General features: G+C 38.6%; 2 protein-coding genes across 10 annotated transcripts in view; one reads left to right on the forward strand and one right to left on the reverse strand.

The window, feature by feature from the left end:
• NUDT4 (nudix hydrolase 4) overlaps positions 1-9095 on the forward strand; it is a 30222-nt gene extending 21127 nt beyond the window's left edge. For all 9 annotated transcript variants that reach the window (NM_199040.4, NM_019094.6, XM_047428136.1 and 6 more), the window contains one exon: positions 126-9095. In NM_199040.4, the coding sequence (NP_950241.1) occupies positions 126-328 (203 nt within the window). In that variant the 3' untranslated portion in view covers positions 329-9095. The remainder of the gene's footprint in view (positions 1-125) is intronic.
• UBE2N (ubiquitin conjugating enzyme E2 N) overlaps positions 6633-21891 on the reverse strand; it is a 36264-nt gene continuing 21005 nt past the window's right edge. The window contains exons 2-4 of the mRNA NM_003348.4: positions 12002-12248; positions 11683-11823; positions 6633-11028 (exon numbers count right to left, since the gene is read on the reverse strand). Of these exons, the coding sequence (NP_003339.1) occupies positions 10988-11028; positions 11683-11823; positions 12002-12248 (429 nt within the window). The 3' untranslated portion in view covers positions 6633-10987. The remainder of the gene's footprint in view (positions 11029-11682; positions 11824-12001; positions 12249-21891) is intronic.

The raw sequence follows: 21891 nt of genomic DNA on the forward strand, positions 1-21891 counted from the left end.
TTCATCTTAATTATTCCCCAACATATTGTTGTCTAAGTCATTTATCGGGGAGTAAGTGGACATTACTTATATGGCTTACTTTTTAAAATGGACTGTCTTGTAACCAATGTCATTCTTTTCTCTAGGAAGGAAGAGAGAGTGGTTCAAAGTAGAAGATGCTATCAAAGTTCTCCAGTGTCATAAACCTGTACATGCAGAGTATCTGGAAAAGCTAAAGCTGGGTTGTTCCCCAGCCAATGGAAATTCTACAGTCCCTTCCCTTCCGGATAATAATGCCTTGTTTGTAACCGCTGCACAGACCTCTGGGTTGCCATCTAGTGTAAGATAGAGAGAACTGGGTAGGCCTCTCCCACCATGTGCAGTCTCATGGGGAGAGGCTTCTTTCGTTTCCTCGTCAAACATCTGATTGACGCTTGCAAACTGTCTGAATTTGCCATGCAAGGTTTTCAAACAATTTGCATGTTTTTCAGATGCTTTCAAATCTTTTTTTAAAAAAATAGTGTAAAATATTTTAATAAGCCAAAGCCATGTGGAATTTTTGTTTAGATGCCTTAACTGTGCCACACCCCACAACCCCCTATATTATTTTGGTTGTCTATTTCTCACAGCATATTTTCAGTTTTTTGTCCATTTGACATCAGTCTGTGGTTTATTTTGTCATCAGATTACTTGTGGGTATACCTACCCCAAAATTGTTTTCTCATTCACAGCATTAGCATATTCAGCAAATCCATCTGTGGTGGGAATTAAAAATATTATTGGTATTAAAGAAATCCATTCACCCCAAAACTTGTTTTACAGGATTACAATTTTAATTCAAAATTTCCAGATTTGGGCTATTTCTGTATGATCCAATAACTTATTTTGTCACAGGGCTTAATTTGCCATTTTTGGGGATTTGTCGACTCATTTTGTCTGAATTTTCACAACTGGTATTATGTCACTAGCTACCTGATACGGCTATTTCCCTTATAACTCAATAGTACCTTAACACAAAGTATAACTCTGTAGAGTTGGTGAATATTTTAGGGAAATATTAGCAAAATGCATGTAGTAAAGACATCTTATGAAAACTGTATTCATGGAATTTGATTTAGCATGCTCAGTTGCCAGTTCCCATTATCGATACTCTTTCTTTGCAGAATACCTTAGAACCGTTATTTCCCTCAGTGTAGATTGCTCTTAAAATGTATTCAGTTATTTAGTGGCCCCCACAGGAGTGGAGTCTTGAAATCTAATTCTAAATGCCAGTCAGTGATGATCGCATCACAGTTGAGTGAAATGGCCTTCCTGTTCAGCTGTTAGAGACTGAAGATTGTTAGGGCACCTTAGAATGTCTCATCTTTTCTAGGTTGTCAACAGGTACTATTTGTCACATAACTAACTTTCGAGGCACTGGAACATACCTGAACTAAGAATTAAATCTTTTACTTTATACTCACTTAAAATCAAGAATCCCATCTAAAACACATAGGTACCTTATCTGAAACTCTTGCACTTCCCCAACCAGGGCAGAAATGAGGTGGGAGAAGTTTGACTAAAATGAGGGATGGGGGAAAGTAAAAGATGTTTTTTTTTTTTTGAGACTCGCTTTGTCACCCAGGCTGGAGTGCAATGGCACAATCTCAACTCACCGCAACCTCCGCCTCCCGGGTTCAAGCGATTCTCCTGCCTCAGCCTCCCGAGTAGTTGGGATTACAGGCGCCTGCCTCCATGCCTGGCTAATTTTGTATTTTTAGTAGAGACAGGGTTTCTTCATGTTGGTCAGGCTGGTCTCAAACTCCTAACCTCGTGATCCGCCTGCCTCGACCTCCCAAAGTGCTGGGATTACAGGCATGAGCCACCATGCCCAGCCAAAGATCATTTTTTTATATAGACTTCAGCCCTTTGTAAATATTGTAACTGGGGAGTATAGAGTAGAAAAAAAGTATAGTTAAAACATTTGTTCTACAAATTAACCTTTAAAAATATAATTACTGCTAAAAATAGAGTGCTGTTACACTTAAGGAAAATTAGTGCCATTTTGGAAATGAGATCTTGTGCCATAAATACAGCTGAACTGAATATAAATGTTCACAAATTAATGCTGTCAAAGGAATGAGTAAAGCAGAAAAACTTTTAACCAGCAACATTTCAAGTACGTAGTGTGATCAAACATGATCATCCAGAATTTTTATATTTTTTTCTTTGTACAGAGGTTACATATTCTGGGTGTTCTTTTATAAAGGAAACATTTTAAATCCCACAAATTGACACTTTCTATCTTCAATGGACTAAGATTTTTTTGGTCAGTAATCTCTGAAATTTCCTTAAATTATATACTTAACATAGCAGAGAAACTGGATTGTTTTTGTATATAAGACTGCTTCCACCTGAAATGCTGTCATAAGTACTGGGGGGGTGGGGGAGTGCCCATCTTGTACATGATATTCTTAGAGGTAATAAGGTAATGATGCATGAATTTATTTTATAAACTCTTGGACTATGTATTTGACATGTAAAATATGTACAGTATTAACGTCAACCATCTCTTTAAAGTTAGCCTATAAATATTGTTGTATAATTTTCTTTGGTCAGAAACACTTGGACTGAATAGTGACACTCGGTAAGGATTTTCAGTGCCATTTAGCAAAACGTCTTTAGTCTATGCAACTAGCAAAAATCTGCATAATGCAACAACACAGTTTTCACACTTCAAATTTTACATGAGGGGTTCTTCACGATTCTCCTGGAACCCAGTCTAGCAAAATGAGAGGAAAGGCCCTAGGGAGATTTATTTCTGTTAAATAGTTAACTCTGCTGAGTATGACAAATAGTGTCTACTATCTCAACCCTCCAAAATTTGCAGAGTGTTGGGACTGTCATTTGTGATTTTTTTTTTTTTTTTTTGGTGGGGTAGTTGAATAAAATTGGGCAGCTAAATTTTTCAGTTCCATGTGCCTCCCAAATAAAAAACAGAAAATAAGTAGTTTTTGTGAATTGACTTGCAGACAAAGTAGAAACTGTGCTGCATGATGTTATTTTGTAAACAGATGACATTTTCTGACCAGGCACATGCCATCCAATTTTCTGTCAATCACACTGTTGTATAAAGCAGCAGAACTGAAGGGGAAAAATGATTGTTGTATACACTGAATTGCTTTGCATGGTCTCATTTGAGATAATTGATGTAAGAATCCTGACTTTTTTATATTTGGAAACATCAAATAAAAATGGAAAAAATGATCATGGCTTTAAAAAAAAAACAAAAACACACACACATGAACTCAGATTTGCAAACCAGGTTTCTGAAACTTTGGGTAAGGTGTATGCTTTTAACTTTGAAATGTATAAACACCCAGCGGAAACGTATACCTTTCAGTGCATAGTGCATTGTGTGCTTACCCTGGGTTGTTTAAACTTGTGTTCAAATATTCCCCCTCCAAGTGAAAGCCTGTCGGGAATTCCACAGTAACACCTTTACTGTTCTCCCATTGATGATCATATACGTTACCTCTTCCTAGCGGTACATTTGTATGATCCTTACTACTGGAATTACCGGGTTAAAAGGAAATGCTTACCACTAAGATGTCAGTATTCTCCTCATGGATATTTTCAGTCTCAATGTTGCCAGTCTAATAGTATAGTATGTGGTTGCTTTACTGCTGTTCTCCCCACCCCCGTGGAGTTGTGTCATTATTTTAATGAATGTGAGCTCTTGACTTACTCTAGAATTCTAATACAGATACTTTCTGCACTAGTATCACTTTTATTATTGCAGTTCCATTTAAAAGCATAACTGGCTAAGTCACCGCCCCACCCGCCGCATTACATTTCCTAAAACATACTGCTGCCAAAGACCAACTGTAGAATCCTTAAGTCCTGTTCAAGTGTCACTTCATTTTTTATTAGGGGTTTCTTAGTTGGAGGGCATGAGAAACTTGGCCCTTTCCAATGTTGTCTTCACATTGGAGTATAAGAATTCTCTATAGGACTCTTTAATTTTTTTTTTTTTTTGGTAGAGATGGGGTCTTGCTGTGTTGCCCAGGCTGGTCTCAAACTCCTAGGCTTAAGCAGTCCTCCAGCCTCAGCCTTCTCAAAGTGCTAGGATGATTGGCATGAGCCACCTCGTCTGGCCTGCAGGTCTTTTTAAGCATTTGCTGTTCAATAATAAGCATCTTCTTTATGCCTAGTATTTGTGATAAGAGCACAAAACAATTTTCTAATCTCAAAGAGCTTATATTCTAGTGGGGTAGAGATAAGTGATTTATCTTGGTGTAGTTTTGGCTTTTTTGTTTGTTTTTTTGAGACAGCATCTCACACTGTCGCCCAGGCTGGAGTGCAGTGGTGCAATCTCAGCTTACTGTAACCTCCGCCTGCCAGGTTCAAGCGATTCTCCTGCCTCATCCTCCCGAGGAGCTGGGATCACAGGCGCCTGCCACCACGCCCGGCTAATTTTTTTGTATTTTTAGTAGAGACGGGGTTTCACCATATTGGCCAGGCTGGTCTCAAACTCCTGACCTCGTGATCCGCCTGCCTCGGCCTCCCTAAGTGCTGGGATTATGGGCGTGAACCACCGCACCTGGCCTATCTTGGTGTTTTTACATCCTTCAGTATTTTTCAAGGTTTTACAGCTTTTTTATCTATAGACTTATACCATCTTCAAAAGCAATACAATTTTATTTGTAGACGTGATTTCCCCCACCAAATGCACATTTTATGGAGCTCTAGGACAAAAGTCAGGATGAAAAGTAATCTATCGCTGGTGCTACTTTAATACCTTCCTGACTGGTGCCACTGGCTAAATTCTAGCAGTACGATGAGAGGGCCATTAAGGCCTATCTTAGCAAGCAAGACATTATAGCAAAGACCTAAACACTCAAAGGTTCAACGTCTTCTAGCCAGGGAACTATTCTCTAATTCTTCCACCTTGATATGATTTCAGCAAATTCTGATAACCCGGTATTACTCTTAATGCATTTTTGTAACATTTGACAAACATCTCCCAATATGTAGACTCCCACTCTCCTGATGCTAATCAGTATCAGACAATGGAAGTAAATTTTCCTGCTTTTCTCAACTTTTCCTCAAATTCATGTTAGTGAAGTACTTTCATTTGGCCATCATTATTTATCAACCTTAAGAAACATGCCTATTGACGAAGTAAATATACTAGGAATTCAACGTATCTACGGGAATGTGGACAAAGACATATACCAAGACAAGGCACTAGAGTGAAAAGCCATTAAAATAAAATGCTCAGCAGCAAAGGATTTGTAATGGTTAACTTGCAATATATCCATATGGTGTAATATTACAGTCATTAGAAATGACATTTGCGTAAGGATCTGAGTGGAAACTGATACAGCCTGTCGGAGAGCTACTGAGTAGTATTTTATCACAGCTGCATACATACCCTTTCACCCAACAGTTCCACTCCTGGGAGTCTAGTCAACAAATGGACAAGTTGCACAACCAAGCTATGGTCAAATATGTGTGTTGTAGGATTTATGAAACTGGTACCAATTTAATATTCAAATGTGATTAAGTCATGGCAATCTATTTACTGGATACTTTGTGGTTACCAAAGAGCTATGTGCTGCCACAGGGAGTCCTTTCAATAGTGATTGAAAAAGGCAGAACACTACTAGACAGAACTACCTGTTTTATGCATGTATTGGCATACACTGAAAAAGCTTAGTCACTTAAAATGAGGTTGTACAGATTGTAGATTTTGTTTTTAAACGCCTGTATGGTTTAAAAAATGTTTTGGGAAATAGACATGAGCAGGGCAGAGAACTACAACCTACAGGCCAAACCCCACCCCACTGCCTGTTTGTACGGCCAACAAGTTTAAAATTTTTTTAATGTTTTAGGTTTTTTTTTTTTTAAAAAAAATACTATGCCCATTTGTTTACAAATCGTCTGTGGGTGCTTTCTCACTACAATGGCAGAATTCAGTAGTTGAGACAGACCTATGGTCCACAAAGGCCGAAATATTTACTGTTTTAGGAGAAAAAAACAACATGAATTGTAATAACTTGGACTTACTTGGTTGCTCAGTCCTGATGTGTCCTGTTAAAACCTAAGAGAAACAGCACCAAGTTCAATCTAGTGCAATCAGCCTATCACATCTAAGCTGCTTTTGCCAGATCTGATATCTACTCCCGACCTTAAGCCAGGAGACTTTGTAAACTTACTAGGTTATAATAAAACTTAAGAACTATCGATATTTACTAATCTACATCATGGAACTATTTCAAAAGCAGTCATATGGTAAGATGGATCAGGAGTCTTTAAAAATAAAACTGAGAAAGAAAAATCATGTGATCAATTCAGTAGTAGAGACAGAGGTTGGTATCAAGTCTATGTTCATACACTTACCAGTGCCACCCAGCAGGGCCATACAAGACACATGAAATGAGATCAGCTCAAGGGTGACAAGATGAAACTGGGAGAGGGCCGGGGAGACCCGAACTCTTAATATTGGATTCCACACAAGAGGAAAAATTTTAGTCCAGCTCCCAGCATGGCAGCTAATGGCAAGTTAGTACCATAAAGCCAACTCTTGGAATATACCTGACTTCCACGATAAAATGGAGATGAGTGCAGGGGTGAGTGTATAGTTAAGAAAACAAACAATATATTACTAGTCCAGGTGGTAGATGACAGATTTTTATTATTTACACTTCTCTCAAATTATTACATTCAGCATGTTTTGCTTTTTATGTTATTTAAAGTATAAACCCTCATATAATTCCCTAAGATGGGTGGCATGCCAAGTAGCTAAATGAAATATCATCCCAGCCCAAAAGTACTTATTCGAATGAAATATTACATTTTTCTTAAATAAAGCAATAAATTAGGTACCCTATTATCATGGTATTTTCTTTTTTGGCCAGCTTTTCTAGATAAGGTTGTATTGCTACTGCAACTAACAAAAAAGATGTGGCAGGGCTGGGCACGGTGGCTCACGCCTGTAATCCCAGCACTTTGGGAGGCCGAGGCGGGCAGATCACGAGGTCAGGAGATGGAGACCATCCTGGCCCAACATGGTGAAACCCCGTCTCTACTAAAAATACAAAAAATTAGCCAGGTGTGGTGGCAGGTGTCTGTAGTCCCAGCTCCTCAGGAGGCTGAGGCAGGAGAATCGCTTGAACGCGGGAGGCAGAACCTGCAGTGAGCCAAGATCATGCCACAGCACTCCAGCCTAAACTACAGAGCTAGAAAGTGGCTAGAGCAGCCAAAAAAAAAAAAAAAAAAAAAAAAAAAAAAGGTTCCTGAACCATTCAACAGAAAAATGAGGCCTATTCCTATCATTTCCTCGATCCAATTTAGTTCCACTTAGGTCACTGTGTTTATAATGTCTTTTAGGACAGATTTCCTTCCCCATTCTCCATCAAACAACCATAGCACCTGTGACTTTTATCTGTTGGTTTGTATTTAATCTTATTTTTAAGTGCTTCTTTGAAATTGTTTTACAAGTACATTCTTGGTCTAGAGTAAGGTTCTATATAGTTGGCCCTCCATATCCATGGGTTCCACTTCCGTGGATTCAAACAACCAGACAAAATATTCCAAAAAACATTGTGTCTGTAGTCAACATGTATATTTTTGTCATTATTCCTTAAACAATAGTGTAACTATTTACATAGCACTTACATTATAATAGGTATTATAAGTAATCTAAATATTAACATAAGCGGGAGGATTTGTGTAGATTGTATGCATATACAACATCATTTTATTCCAGAGACTTGAGCATCTGCGAATTTGGATATCCAAAGGAAGTCCTAGAACCAGTTCCCGACAAATACCAAGAGATGACTTTACTTTAGACCTAAGATCTTGCTAGACAGCCTTTGAGAGGATGAAGGATAACTAGAGCAGAAGCAAATCGCAGCGAAGTAGACTACAACAATCAAGTCAAAAAACATAAAGCTCCTATCAACACCTCAAGATTTTAGAAAAGCCTCTTAACGGGCAATTTTCTTTTAAATAAAGACTGGGTCCCACTATGTTAGCCAGGCTGGTCACAAACTCCTGGACTCAAGTGATCCTCCTGCCTTGGCCTCCTAAAGTGCTGGGATTACAGGCATGAGCCACTGTGCCCGGCCTGGGCAGTCGATTTTCAGGAAGCCACTTAATGTTCAGATTCTTTTCTTCTCTCCCAGGACTTTGCAGATGCTGCTGTTCCCTCTGCCTGGAGATGTTCATCTGGCCTGAATCCAAAAGTCTGTCCAAGTTACTTCTCTTTTCCATGACAGAGTTACAACTATTTGTCTGTCCCCCTTCCCCATTAGAGTATATGGTCCCCAAAGGAAAGCCCCATGCCATTCACTCACCACCTAATCATCCCCAACAACTAGTGGGCAAACATGAAACACTTTTGTTGAATAATGTGTTTCCTTTAGCCCAGGGATTACAAAGTCAAAGGCTTACAAGGGGGAAGGACTAGCAGGTGTGCTCGGAGGGGACTCTAGCCAACTGGAGAGTAACTGGTGAGAAGACAATGACATGCTCTTAGGGTGTCTGCTACTCAGATCCTCTCAGTTAAGTCCCGTGCACAAAGGTGGGTCAGGTCTACTGTTGCCAGATCTTCAGATCATTCAAAAGTTACCCGAATTCTGGATTTTCATGCAAATCTCCCAATTTTTAAAAATGTTGGCATCAAATTCAGAATGTTTTAACCAGCCACACTGTGTGGGCCAGGGAAAACAGGCCCAAAGGCCAGGTGAAGCTGCAGTTTTCAACTGCTGCCTTGGCCTCTCCCAGAGCCCCTTAAGTCCTAAGAAGGCTCAGTCAACACACTGGCACTCGTTTCATCCCACTGGTTGAGAAAGCAAGTCTTAGCAAAGTAATGGGGGAGTCTTACCAAAACTGCAAAGGAAAAAAATATGATACCATGAAATTAGAAATTCACTGCATTTGAAATGAAAATGACTTATTTCTGTACTTCTATAACTCACAAATTTAGCAGACATCATTTAGACATTTTTGTAGTGCAACAGATTTAAATCTGGAATTTCATGGTTTGTAAATCACTATGTGATACTAGCTATAACCATGAGCAATATTACGGGCAGTAAATGTTGATTTCTATTTCGTTTCTTGAAGTTTTGTGTGGTTCATTTTTAAAGTGAGATTCAATTTCCTTAGCTATAGTCAAATGTACCCTTTAAACAGCCCAAGAATTGTTATAAATGACAGCTGCTATCAGTTTTCAAATTTTACAATATTAGGGTTGTTAACTATTTCATTCTGAATTAAGCTAACATTTGTTACCAAGCAATGCATTTATTTGGAAGGATACCAGTTACCAGTCATCAAAAGCTTTTGTATGTTGAAAATGTAATTTTAATAGTTAATTCTTCATCTTACATAGGAGCACAATAAAATACACCACAATCTGAAGAAACTCCAGAATTACGAGAATAAGAGTGAAGAAAATTCAAATGGGCTACAATATCCATTACCTTAAACTGCAAGAGACAAGGTTGCAACCCGAAGGTTAACATTTATGTATTTATGACTGGCTACATTTATGACTTAAAAATAACAAGAATCAGGAATTAGATATGGAGAGAGGTGGGAAAGAACAGTTTTGTGAGGGGAGGAATTCGTCAATAAAGAAGAAAAATTACTGAATTCCAAATTAAAGAATAAAACGAGCTCCCACAGCAAATACTGGAGGGATGAAAGCAAGAATCATTAACTGAGGACTTGATACTCTCAAAGGGATAAACCTTTCTGATGACACACAAGCTAGATAGTTGAGATCTGCTCATCAGGTTTATAAGGAAGACTCACAAATGCCTCAGCAAATCCCAAATGATCAGATCAGTGTTTCTTAACACACATGAAAGGTTACAGATGAAATTTTCAGATAAGAACCAAGAAAAATGTCATAACCCAAATTTTAGGCAAAAATGTGGCACAACTGTGAAAGTCCTACATGTCAGTCACAACTGCTATCTTTGCTGTGACTTTCCTGTACAGTAATTTTTAAACATTGTGGCAAGACACCAATGATCATCTAATCAGACAACACAAACACATTTATTTCAAATTCCTAGAAGGTTAAAAAAAGGTCAGATACTGATGCTTTATGCATGCTCAGGGCCAGTTTATAAATACTCCATTCAGTACTATCTTAACACAAATCTGCATCAGTGAAAAGAAACTGGCAAAATCCACCTCTTGCCATTCAATTTGTCAGATGGTGAAGACCAAGAAAGAATGTTCCATCAGTTTCAATTTTAAAATACGATTGTCAAATTGGGAAAATGAAATAAACACAGTAAAATAAACTGTACAAAGGCAAAGTAGAATAACAAAAAATATTTTACTAAAACATAAGATTTACAGAAGTTTCCAGACAAGCCATACAAAATGGTCACAAGCTTTTTTTGAAGGGGGGAATCTACACTTGACAGCAATGTTATTAGTGAGGGCTGTGATGTTTGTTTAATGTTCCCATTTTGGTTCCAACAATCAAGCTTGTCCATCTACAGCGTCTAAATAAAGTTAGACTTGGCTAGAGCATATTCTAAAGACCTGGTTAGCTGCTTTTAACCAATGCAATTAGATCACCAAAAAAGGGGGAAAGGAGCCCATAAAATTAAACTACCTCCCCCCTCAAAAATAAAATAAAATAAAATAAAATAAAAACACCCACACCCCTGCAGCTAACCTGACAACTACCTTCATTCACAGTGCTTTATACTTAAACCAGGATGGGGGAAATGAATAAAAGCAGGGAGGGGCCACTGCTTTTAAACGTTTCACAACAATCCAGATGATACTTCTAGCCTCTGCTCATGCTTTATGACAGTGAATCAGGACAAGACATAGATTTGCTAATGTGCATTTAATCACCAAAGGACTGAAGATGTCTGGGCTTTTTTATTCTGTAATGTTTCTAAGACTGTGTCCATTAAATGCAAACAAAGAGGAGGAAGTCTTGGCAGAACAGGAGAAGTGATGCACACTTGATGATCGTATCAATTTAAATATTATTCATGGCATATAGCCTAGTCCATGCTCTAGCTGTAGACAGAAACAAACATACGATTATTATTTTACTTAGTTCAATATGTTACTTTCCAAACTATAAATGGCAAACAACCACTATTAATTATGGAAATGTCATGCTGTAATCTGTTAAATTCACGCCTTTTTCTATAAATTGGATCAGGGCTGAAAGATTTTGTAAATGTCCAATTACCAAAACACTACAATAAAATTAAGAAGTTCTAGAAAATTCAAGAGGATGAATCAAGTTGTCCATTTCTAGATACACAATTCTCCCCACTAATTTTCTTAAAATCTGTAGCAGAAGCTTCTTGACTCCAAATTCCGTAGCCATAAACAGCTGAATACTTTAATCAAATGGGTTACAAAAACAGTTCAAGTTTTCCAGTATTCTTTACATATAACTAGATAAATGGTATGCACTCAGTATTTGTTAAACCAGGTGTAGTTACAAGAGACTCCAAGATCTTTCAATTACAGGTTGTCTTTATATTTGGGGGGTCCCATAGCAAGCCATTTTGTTAAGACGTATTTACATACTATAAGCAGGATCTCACTTATTATACTTTTTTCTATTTCTTTTCCTTGCCAAGAGCTTTAGAAAAGTTTAAGTGGTAATACAAATTTGTAAAAGTGGAAGTGGTGTGAAGGAGAATGAATATTAGATACCTGTTTCTATGGCTTGGGCTTCGTTGGTCTTCCACTGCTCCGCTACATCATTTGCTAATGGATCATCTGGATTGGGAGCACTTAACAAGGCCTGGATCGATAGCAGAACTGTGCGGATCTGCAGTGCTGGGGACCACTTATCTATGAAGGCAACAGGCCCAGTATGATAAAGCATGAAAAAAACAGGCCCAGAACTGCTTCACTTCCCTCCCACAGACCTCTCTGATCTTTGTATAATGTTTACATTCTAAACATGGAATGCTTAAGAGAAAAAGGAGAAAGCTTAATAATAGCATATGCTGATAAAGATAACACTTACCTTTCAAAATATCTAAACATATTCTTCCCAACTTGTCTACATTAGGATGATAAATTTTGGTCATGAAACGTACTTTAGGGGCTGCCATTGGGTATTCTTCTGGAAGGAATAGTTCAAGTTTAAAAGTCCCTCCCTCAAAGGGGGAATCCTGAGGGCCAGCAATGACCACATGAAAATAACGGGCGTTGCTCTCATCTGGTTCGGCTTTGATGCCAGGAACTGGTTCTGCCAGCAAACGCTGGGTTTCCTATGACAGAAAAACAAACACATTTGTGAAACAAATGTCATTTTGCTAGACACCAAAAGTAAAATTAGAAAGTTCATCTCTTAGAACTACGCATAATAGAACAGCTCCAATCTCCCAACAGATTTAGCTTATAAAATGCAAAATTCAAAAAAATACCATTTAAATAATTACAACCAGCTGAATGAAACTGCAAGCGAATACTAATGATGTTATCATACATTTTGGCTACAAATGTCTACAAATATGTTAATAAAATTAGCTTAATAAAACTGATTTTTTACTCAAGTAAAATAAAGTAACATTAGGATTACATAAGTAAGGCAACTTGCTCTAAACTCAACCAAAACCAAGCTATTTAAAAAGTAAAATTAGCTTTTTTGGTGGTTTTTTTTGGCTTGTTTGTTTGTTTTTGAGACAAGATCTCACTTTGTCACTCACGCTGGAGTGCAGTGGCAAGATCTTGGCTCACTGCAGCCTCGACCTCCCTGGGCCCAGGTGATCCTCCCAACTCGGCCTCCTGAGTAGCTGGGATTACAGGTGTGCGCCACCACACCTAGCTAATTTTTGTATTTTTAGTAGAGACGGTATCACCCTGTTGGCCAGGCTGGTCTTGAACTCCTGGCCTCAAGTGATTTGCTCGCCTTGGCTTCCCAAAGTGCTGAGATTACAGGTATGGGCCAACACACTCGGCCAAAAATTAGTTTTTAAACCCACTGAAAACCTCCCCTCTGAAAAATGTAACGGACTAAAGAAAGGAGATAAGAAGAGGCCCAGGTACCTGAACAGGACTAAAGAAATATATTTAACAATGCTGATTACTCTAAAATTGACAATTAACTTCAGAGGAACCCTTAATACTCCCAACAATCATACCATTAGTTCTCTTTTTCATCATTCTCCCTCTCCCCTAAATAATTGTATTATTATTATTTCTCTTCTCTCTTCAAACCTCCAGCATCTCCATCCCCATCCTCACTTGTGGCTGATGTCCTGCTTCCTATTTCATGACAAGTTAGATACTTCCATCAGTTCCCACTGTAGCATTTGGACATTTCCCTGCATCTGCACCCATACACTCTGGTTTTTCTCCTGTATAGATGAAATGTCACGTACTCTTGGCTAGGGCCAATCGGTCTTGAGCACTAGATCTTACTGATCTCTGAAATGTTTGTTCTTCGGTACCATAAAGAAATAGCACTTGAACATAAATTTAATTTATTTAGTAAAGCCATTTTTACTTCCTGCAGAAAGGGTACACTCGCCAGGAGTTTTGCCACAAGAGTATACTGAACAAAGGAGACAGGGTCATTTATAACCTGACGCGTCCACCCTACTGCTGTGTCCGGTTTCCACTGGCTGGAACGGGATCTCACATTCTGTATTTGTCCTGACTGGCTAGCAACTTAGAACTTTTTAAAAGAGGTAAAGGTAGAGGGGAACAAAGGAAGGAGGAAGTAACTTGTGGAATGCTGAGAAAGGTAAAAACACTTTTAAATAAGGAAGAGGAACAGGCTATGACCTAATGCTTGCTTGGACCAGTATAAGCATGCCAGGGCAAATATTTAGGCTAAATTGTGGGAGCTAAGAACATAAAGTATATTGATTTCTTTATTATGGCTAGCAAATATTTAAGAATGTTTGCACAGGTCTTCGAATAAATTTTGCTTCTAAGAGAAGTTACTATTTATTCCTAATTAGATGGGGAGGAAAGTCTTTGAAGAGGAACCTCTACTTTGCTTGTCTCCAATTTCTCTCCTCCTCTTCTGTCTTGAACATACCCTCCAATCAAGCTGTAGTTATCGCTAACTTGTTTGTTAAGGTCACCAATGATTTCCACAAGGTTAAATCAAATGTCCAGTGCTTAATCTTTATCTTACCTAAATGCGACATCTTATCCAGCTGGTCTCCTTCCTCTTTGCAAAGCTTTATCTAACTTCCTATAAACATTCTCATGGCTCTCTTCCTCCTTGTCTGGCAGCAGCTTCCTTTAGTTTCCTTGTTGGTTTCTTCTATCTCCCAACATCGCAACACTGAAATGCACTGGGGCTCTATTCTAGGGCTTCCTCTCTGTTTATACATTTCCACAGTGATCTCATGTAATGCAATGAATTTAAATACTAAACACACTCTATAAGCTGAAGCCTCCCCTAATTCATATCTAGCCCAGACCTCTCCCCTCATCGTGCCTCTTGCCTCTATAACTACCTGCTTGATATACACTCTTGAATGTCTAATAAGCATCCCAAACTTAACATGACCTCCCTATCCCCAACCTTTGCTCCTCCCATAAAGTCTTCCCCACATCAGTTACTGGCAAACCCATCTTTCCAAATGATCCACCTTTTCCTTCATATGCCACACACATCTAGCCTGATTGGCAAATTGGTTTTTTTTATACTTCAAATTCTACTCATGATTGGACTGTTTCTCACCATTCCACTGCTACACCTCTGATCCAAGCAACCATCAGCTCTGACCTGGCATACTACAACAGCCTCCTAACCTGTTCTTCCTGCTTCTGACCTCACTACCTCCCTCGCAGGTCTATTATCCACAGACCCTTTAAAAGTCATAGTCCTGAGCCGGGTGCGGTGGCTCACGCCTGTAATCCCAGCACTTTGGGAGGCCGAGGCGGGTGGATCACCTCAGGTCAGGAGTTCGAGACCAGCCTGATCAACATGGAGAAATCCCATCTCTACTAAAAATACAAAATCAGCCGGGCATGGTGGCACGTGCCTGTAATCCCAGCTACTCGGGAGGCTGAGGCAGGAGAATCATTTGAAGCCAGGAGGCGGAGGTTGCAGTGAGCTGAGATCGTGCCATTGCACTCCAGCCTGGGTGACAGGGCGAGACTCCATCTCAAAAAAAGTCTGGGCATGGTGGCTCACACCTGTAATCCCAGCATTTTGGGAGGCCGAGGCGGGTGGATCGGCTCAGGTCAGGAGTTCGAGACCAGCCTGATCAACATGGAGAAATCCCACCTCTACTAAAAATATAAAATTAGCTAGGCATGGTGGCGCATGCCTGTAATCCCAGCTACTTGGGAGGCTGAGGCAGGAGAATCGCTTGAACCCCGGAGGTGGAGGTTGCGGTGAGCCCCGATCATGCCATTGCTCTCCAGCCTAGGCAAAAGAGCGAAGCTCCGTCTCAAAAAAAAAAAAAAAAAAAAAAAGTCATAGTCCTTGTAATGGGCCCCCAAAAGACGCTCTATATGATGCCCTCACTCCACCTACCTCTCTGACTTATCTTCAGCTGTTCTCTCTCCATCCCCTAACCTTCTCTGTTCCAGACAAAAATTAGCTTCCTTGTAGTTCTTCAACGTGCCAGGCATCCGCTCACCTCAAGGGCTTTGTACTTCCTCTTCCTCCCCAAGATATCCATATGGCTTGCTCCCTCAGCTCCTAAGATCTTCATGTTTTCTCAGTGAAGCCATCATAACTGAAATTGCAAACCCCATTCAACCCTACCCTGCACACTCCCTATCCCCACTCCCTGGCTTTATCTCCACAGCACTACTAACAAATCTCATTTCTACTTATTTTGTTCAGAATTTAAGCTCCATGAGAGGATGGATTTGAGTCTATTTTATGGACTGCTATATCCTCAGCATTTGGAACACTGCCTGGCACAATAGATATTCAATTAATATTTACTGAATTCTGAATCTATTTGATGTTATGAAAAGAGGGAAATAAACGATCAGAATTTCATCGTTAACATCATTAAGGCAGGGTTATTTTCAAGGCAGGATGTGCACATTATGGAAGGAAAACAAAAGGAGCCACTCAGGTATGGGGAAAAATAGTCTAACTTCTACTTATATTTATTTTTAACCAGAAAAATGTTCATATTTAAATAAGCTTTTAGGTATGAAAAACAATAAATGAGAACATTTTATTTACACTGCCTTCACCTAAAAAAAAATACATCATAAACTGTTTCATTCCACAAGCTACAGGGCATACGTTAAAAACAACAACAACAAATAACTTCTCTCTCAGCACAGTAATATACTGAAATAGTCATAAGATGTAAATACAAATCAAATGCTTCCCCAAAATGTGTTAATTAAACCCATGGCCATTTTAGGTAATGTCTCTGGTATTTTAAGACTAGTTTTTTGTTTTGATCATGGCGATGTAAGAGCAAGTGAGAAACTGACATGTTCTTTAGGTTCAAACTAAAACATTTTTAGAGTATTAAAAAGCTCAAGAGGCAATAATGAAGCCTCTGACCTTGGGAAGTCCTTTAACATGTGACCAGAACAAAAGAGGCTGGTCTTCATTTTTTAGGAAAAAAGTTAAGATATTAGGGATGAATAGCAGGAGTAGAAAAATGAGAAAATAACTGGATGGTAAAATTCCTTGAATTCTGGGCTCTCCTCACCTCCATCCTTTAATTTTACCCCAGGTCTTCATGTTTTTAGAAAGCCATAAATTGGGTGACTGGAAAAAAAAGAAAGCCAGGGCCCAAGAGTCCCAATCCACCACTCACCAGTTACACAAAGTAGTAGCAGCTCTGTATCTACTATAAAAAGCTACAGAAAGGCCTCCAAAAGCGTATCCCAAAATAGCTTCAAAATCACTCTCAATACACAGTGGCAGAGATAGGTATGGCATTTACTTTCTCATCTTCAGTTCACCCTCAAAATCAGATATTCTTTGTAAAGAATGTACATATTAAGCACATCATGTGACCTGATCAAGCCTAGATTTAATTGGAACACATTCTAAAATAAGCTTTCGTGTGTAGAAAACATTTTGAAATAGTCCTTATAATATATGCTGCTCTCAAGTTCTAATGGACTGACACAAAAACATGCATAATTATTTCACTAAACTGTTGGTTTCCCTAACAAACCCACAGCATAAACTGTGGGAGGGGAAAAAAGGAATAAAATCCAAACTAAATGAAACAAGTCTGAAATGGCAGCATCTGAAAAAGTCTCAACCACAGAAACTGATGTCAACTTTTTTCCTAAAAAGGCAAAAACTGGCTAGGAAATAAAATCTTTCCGGCCACTATTCAACACATGACTAACTAAAATACCTTCTGGTTTTACACTATTCTTTGGTGGAAAGACAGAGTACAGTATGATTTCTTTAAGTGAAGAAGTAAAGGGCTAAAATTCCTACTGTTTCACTTATCTATCTTTTTTTTTTTTTTTGAGACAAGTCTCGCTCTCTTGCCCAGGCTGCAGTGCAGTGGCACGATCTTGGCTCACTGCAACCTCTGCCTCCTGGGTCCAAGTGAGCACCTGGCTAATTTTTGTATTTTTAGCAGAGACAGGGTTTCACCATGTTAGCCAGGCAGGTCTCGAACTCCTGACTTAAAGTGATCTGCCCGCCTCAGCCTCCCAAAGTGCTGGGATTGTAAGCGTGAGGCACCACGCCCGGCCTTATCTATCTTTTGGCACAAATAATTTACATTGCAGGTGGGATGCCATGGTTCACACCTGTAATCCCTGCACTTTGGGAGGCTGAGGCAGGCAGGGGAATCACTTGAGGCTAGGAGTTCCAGACCAAGCTGGGCAAGCATAGTGAGACCCCATCACTACCAAAAAAAAAAAAAAAAAAAAGTTGACAAATGAGATCACATAGGAAGGCCATAGTTGTTTACAGAAAAACAGAATAACCCTTAAATGAATTTTGTGATTCTATTATGTTTAAAAGCAGTCCAAGGATTGAATCCCAAACAGAAGTGAGTTTAGGGCCATGCATAATAGAAAGCACTGTAGACTATGTTCAGGAAATTAGTTAATGTAGACTATGTTCAGGAAGTTAGTTACTAAAATAGACAGGTAAGTTGGTAAAGGAATAGGGTATGGATTTAAATGTCCACAAAATTAAGTCTAAAGGAAGGTATCTCATCTTATAGAACGCATACAATAGTTAATGCTACAAATATTTTTAAAAGGAATCAAATATCACATCAAATTGATCTAATTATCAACAGATCTACTGGGTCTTGAAGAGCAAACCCTAGACTCACACTACTGTAAACTATACTGTAGTTAGTCAATTATAACAACTGACATTCTGTCAACCTATCTCTATTAACCAGGACTCTTATTTTTAAGTTGAAAAATAATTTGTGCTCAGTACGAAGCAATGACAGGTCTTAGATGCTCTTCTGCAAGGCAATGATTGGAGTATGTACAGTAAAATTTTGGGGTAATAAACAGTATTCTTAGAAAAAGTGCTAATTTGTGTGTGAGAAAAGTTGGTCCAGTTAGTAACTATCTATATCCCAGTGCATCCTGTCTACAGTGATTAGGTTTTTTAGAATATTCTCTGAAACACAAAATTGCAATATATGACCAGTAATATCAACTGTAGATCTTTTAGCTCATCTCAAACAAGAGCTGTCTGATAACTCAGTAACTGCCAATTTCATTACTGAAAAATAAGTGTTAAAAAACTGAGTGATGCTTCAATGATACCTACTCTGTAAACTCCAACCTGTCACTACATCTTTAAGCGATTCTAAAATATTAACAAACAGGGTTCTGGACAAAGTTGTGTGTTATAGAAAAAAAATTTAAATAAAGAAAAAAATTATGAAAAATTTGTAAGATAAAACAAACGGGCTCCTTTTTTGGGATCACTAATAAAGCAAGTCAATTCTTCATTATGTACACAACTGTAAGTTACTTATGAGAATCTGCAAGTTCACCCTCTATATATATAAGTGGGCATTTTTATTTATCACTTTTTTTGTAGAGATGGGTTTCTCTATGTTGCCCAGGCTGGTCTCCTGCCTCAAGCAATCTTCCCGCCCTGGCCTCCCAAAGCAATGGGATGACAGACGTGAGCCACCACACTTGGCCCAATAAGTGAGCATTTAAAAAATGTTACCACCAGCCTGGGCAACATAGCAAGACCCCATCTCTGCAAACCAAAAAACTAAAAAAATTAGCTGGGCATGCTGGCATATGACTATAGTCCTAGCGTACTTGGGAGGTTGAGGTGGGAGTACTGCCTGAGCCCAGGAGTTCAAGGTTACAGTTAGCTGTGATCATACCACTGCACCCCAGCCTGGGCGATAGTGAGACCTTGTCTCTTAAAAACAAAACAAAACAAAACAAAAAGTTAATTATCATCAATGGACATTTTCAAGTGCATACCCCTTGCTTCATTTTATCTGTAAGCCCTGTGAATTTTACTACATGATTTTGTATAACATAACATTCTTAGAAACATATAATGTCTCATTATAGTAAAACTGACTGCCTATTTTCTAGCTGGGATTAGAAATAGAACCAAAGTTTTGCTCAAGCTCCCCATTACACTACTTCCTTACAAATCATAAGGCCACCTAGAGATACACTAAGATAAAAATGGCTGATGAGTACTTTTCTCCACAGCACTGCTATCCAACAGAAATATAATACAAGCCACGTAAGTATTTAAAAATTTTCTAGTAGCCAAATAAAAAAGTAAAAAGAAACAAGTAAAATTAATTTTAATATATTTTATCTAAAAATGTATTCAAAATATTATTTCAACATGAAATCAGTATGAAATTAATGATGTATTTTATCTTTTATCATAGCCTTCAATGCCCACTGTGCAAATTACACTTGTAGCACATGTTAATTTAAACTAGTCATATTTCAACTACTCAACAGCCACATGGAATGATTAGTGGCTCCCAAATTAGTCTGGAGAGTGAAACACAAGACAATCATGTTATAATGTTACTGCCTGGTCATTATGAATAATTTAATTTATTTCATATAATAGGTAAAATTTTGTACAGAAACTTTAAAGCATCACTATTTTCCCCTCAAAAAATTCTATACAAAAAGTAATGTCAGGCCGGGCGTGGTGTCTCATGCCTATAATCCCAGCACTTTGGGAGGCCGAGGCGGGCAGATCACCTGAGGTCAGGAGTTCGAGACCAACATGGAGAAACCCTGTCTCTACTAAAAATATAAAATTAGCCAGGCCTCGTGCTGCATGCCTGTAATCCCAGCTACTCGGGAGGCTGAGGCAGGAGAATCACTTGAACCTGGGAGACGGAGGTTGCAGTGAGCCGAGATCGTGCCACTGCACTTCAGCCTGGGCAACAAGAGTGAAACTCCGTCTCAAAAAAAAAAAAAAGTAATGTCAGAACATTTGACATCACTAATAACAGAAATGCATGTAACAACAGTTGCTGTTTGCTACACTCACAAGATTGTGTTTGAAAAAAATTTATGGCAATTTCAAAACACATTAAATGAACAAAAATTAATTCAAACAAGCTAACTGAATGATGAAGTAAAGAGTTCACTGAGGAACTATTTTAATTTTTACAGTACACACTACCCCCTAGTGGACATAAGACATCATCTACTTATTTCACCACCTTTCCTTTGCAAATGAAAAAACTGATGCTCTTAAAAGTTACTGTACCCAAGTTTGCTAAGCTTTTTAAACTTACATTATATGATCACTCCTTGCTTTGGTAAAACCAAACCAAAGTTAGCACCTACCTAAACACGTCCTTGAAAAAGACCTATAGATTCCAACAGTAAATAAAATGAAAATAGCTTAAGAAAACTAATAAAAGCAAACCAAGCAAAGCTAAGACAATTTTGTATTCCCTTTCTGCTTTCACCTCTTGTGCCTATCTTGCTCCTAACCACTTAGACTCCCCCAGATAAGCTAACTGGGTCCATGAGAATTTCCTGAAAATGCCTATCCTAAAGTCAAATGGAGAATAATGATTCTCAAGACACACCCCTCCCTTGTTCTTTCTTTTCCCTTCTACTCCCACATATTTAAATCTCAAAATTTCTTAGGTGGCAGATTCAGAGAAGGAAAAACGGAAGAAAAATCTATTTCTAAGATTCTGCGTACCAAAGACTAAATCTCAGAGTACTTTAGACCAGAGTATTCCTTTTTTGGGAAAAGCTTTATTTATGGGTTGATAGGTAACAAATAGGTAAGTACTCTCTATTCCACTTGAAGTAATAATGAACAGATGGGGCCAGATGACTTGGGCTAGAAATCTCTACATCCTAATTTTTTCCCTCAAACCTAGACCAGATCAATATTTCTGTGAAGCTCAGTGAAAAGGAATGGAGACTTGGGAGCTGGAGGGACTTCTGAAAGTCAAAGTATATATAATCTGAGATACATCAGAATGTATCTCAGGTCTGAATTAGTCTAAAAGTTTCTCCCTTGTACTTCCAGTTTCCTGTTCATTACCACCTCTCCACTTACTGTAACTACGCACAATAACTGCTGGTTTACTTCTCAGACCCTAAACTATTTGAAGAGAGGAACCCCAGCTAGTAAATGGTGGTAAATTCTAAATAAATGCTTGCTTGGTGAACGAACATCTGCAATGCTTAGGTACCACCCAGAGCTGATGAGGAATACTGTATCTGCTGTGTTCATTGGTAAATTCCATCTCAGGAACAGCATTTAAGATTATTCCAATCACTGACAATGACAATGGACAAAAATCAGAATAATCCTACTAACAAATTGTCCCACCAAGAAGAAAAACTGTTAAGCTGAATTCCTTTATTTCTTGTCTATCTTGCCTCCCCAATTCTTCTGCCCACTAAACACATCAGGTTGTATTATAGTCTGTGTATATTTTCCTCCCCACCAGTCTGTAAGCCCCATAAAAGCAGGGACCACATGCA

The sequence above is a fragment of the Homo sapiens genome, chromosome 12, assembly GCF_000001405.40.
Source record: "Homo sapiens chromosome 12, GRCh38.p14 Primary Assembly".
Taxonomy (NCBI): domain Eukaryota; kingdom Metazoa; phylum Chordata; class Mammalia; order Primates; family Hominidae; genus Homo; species Homo sapiens.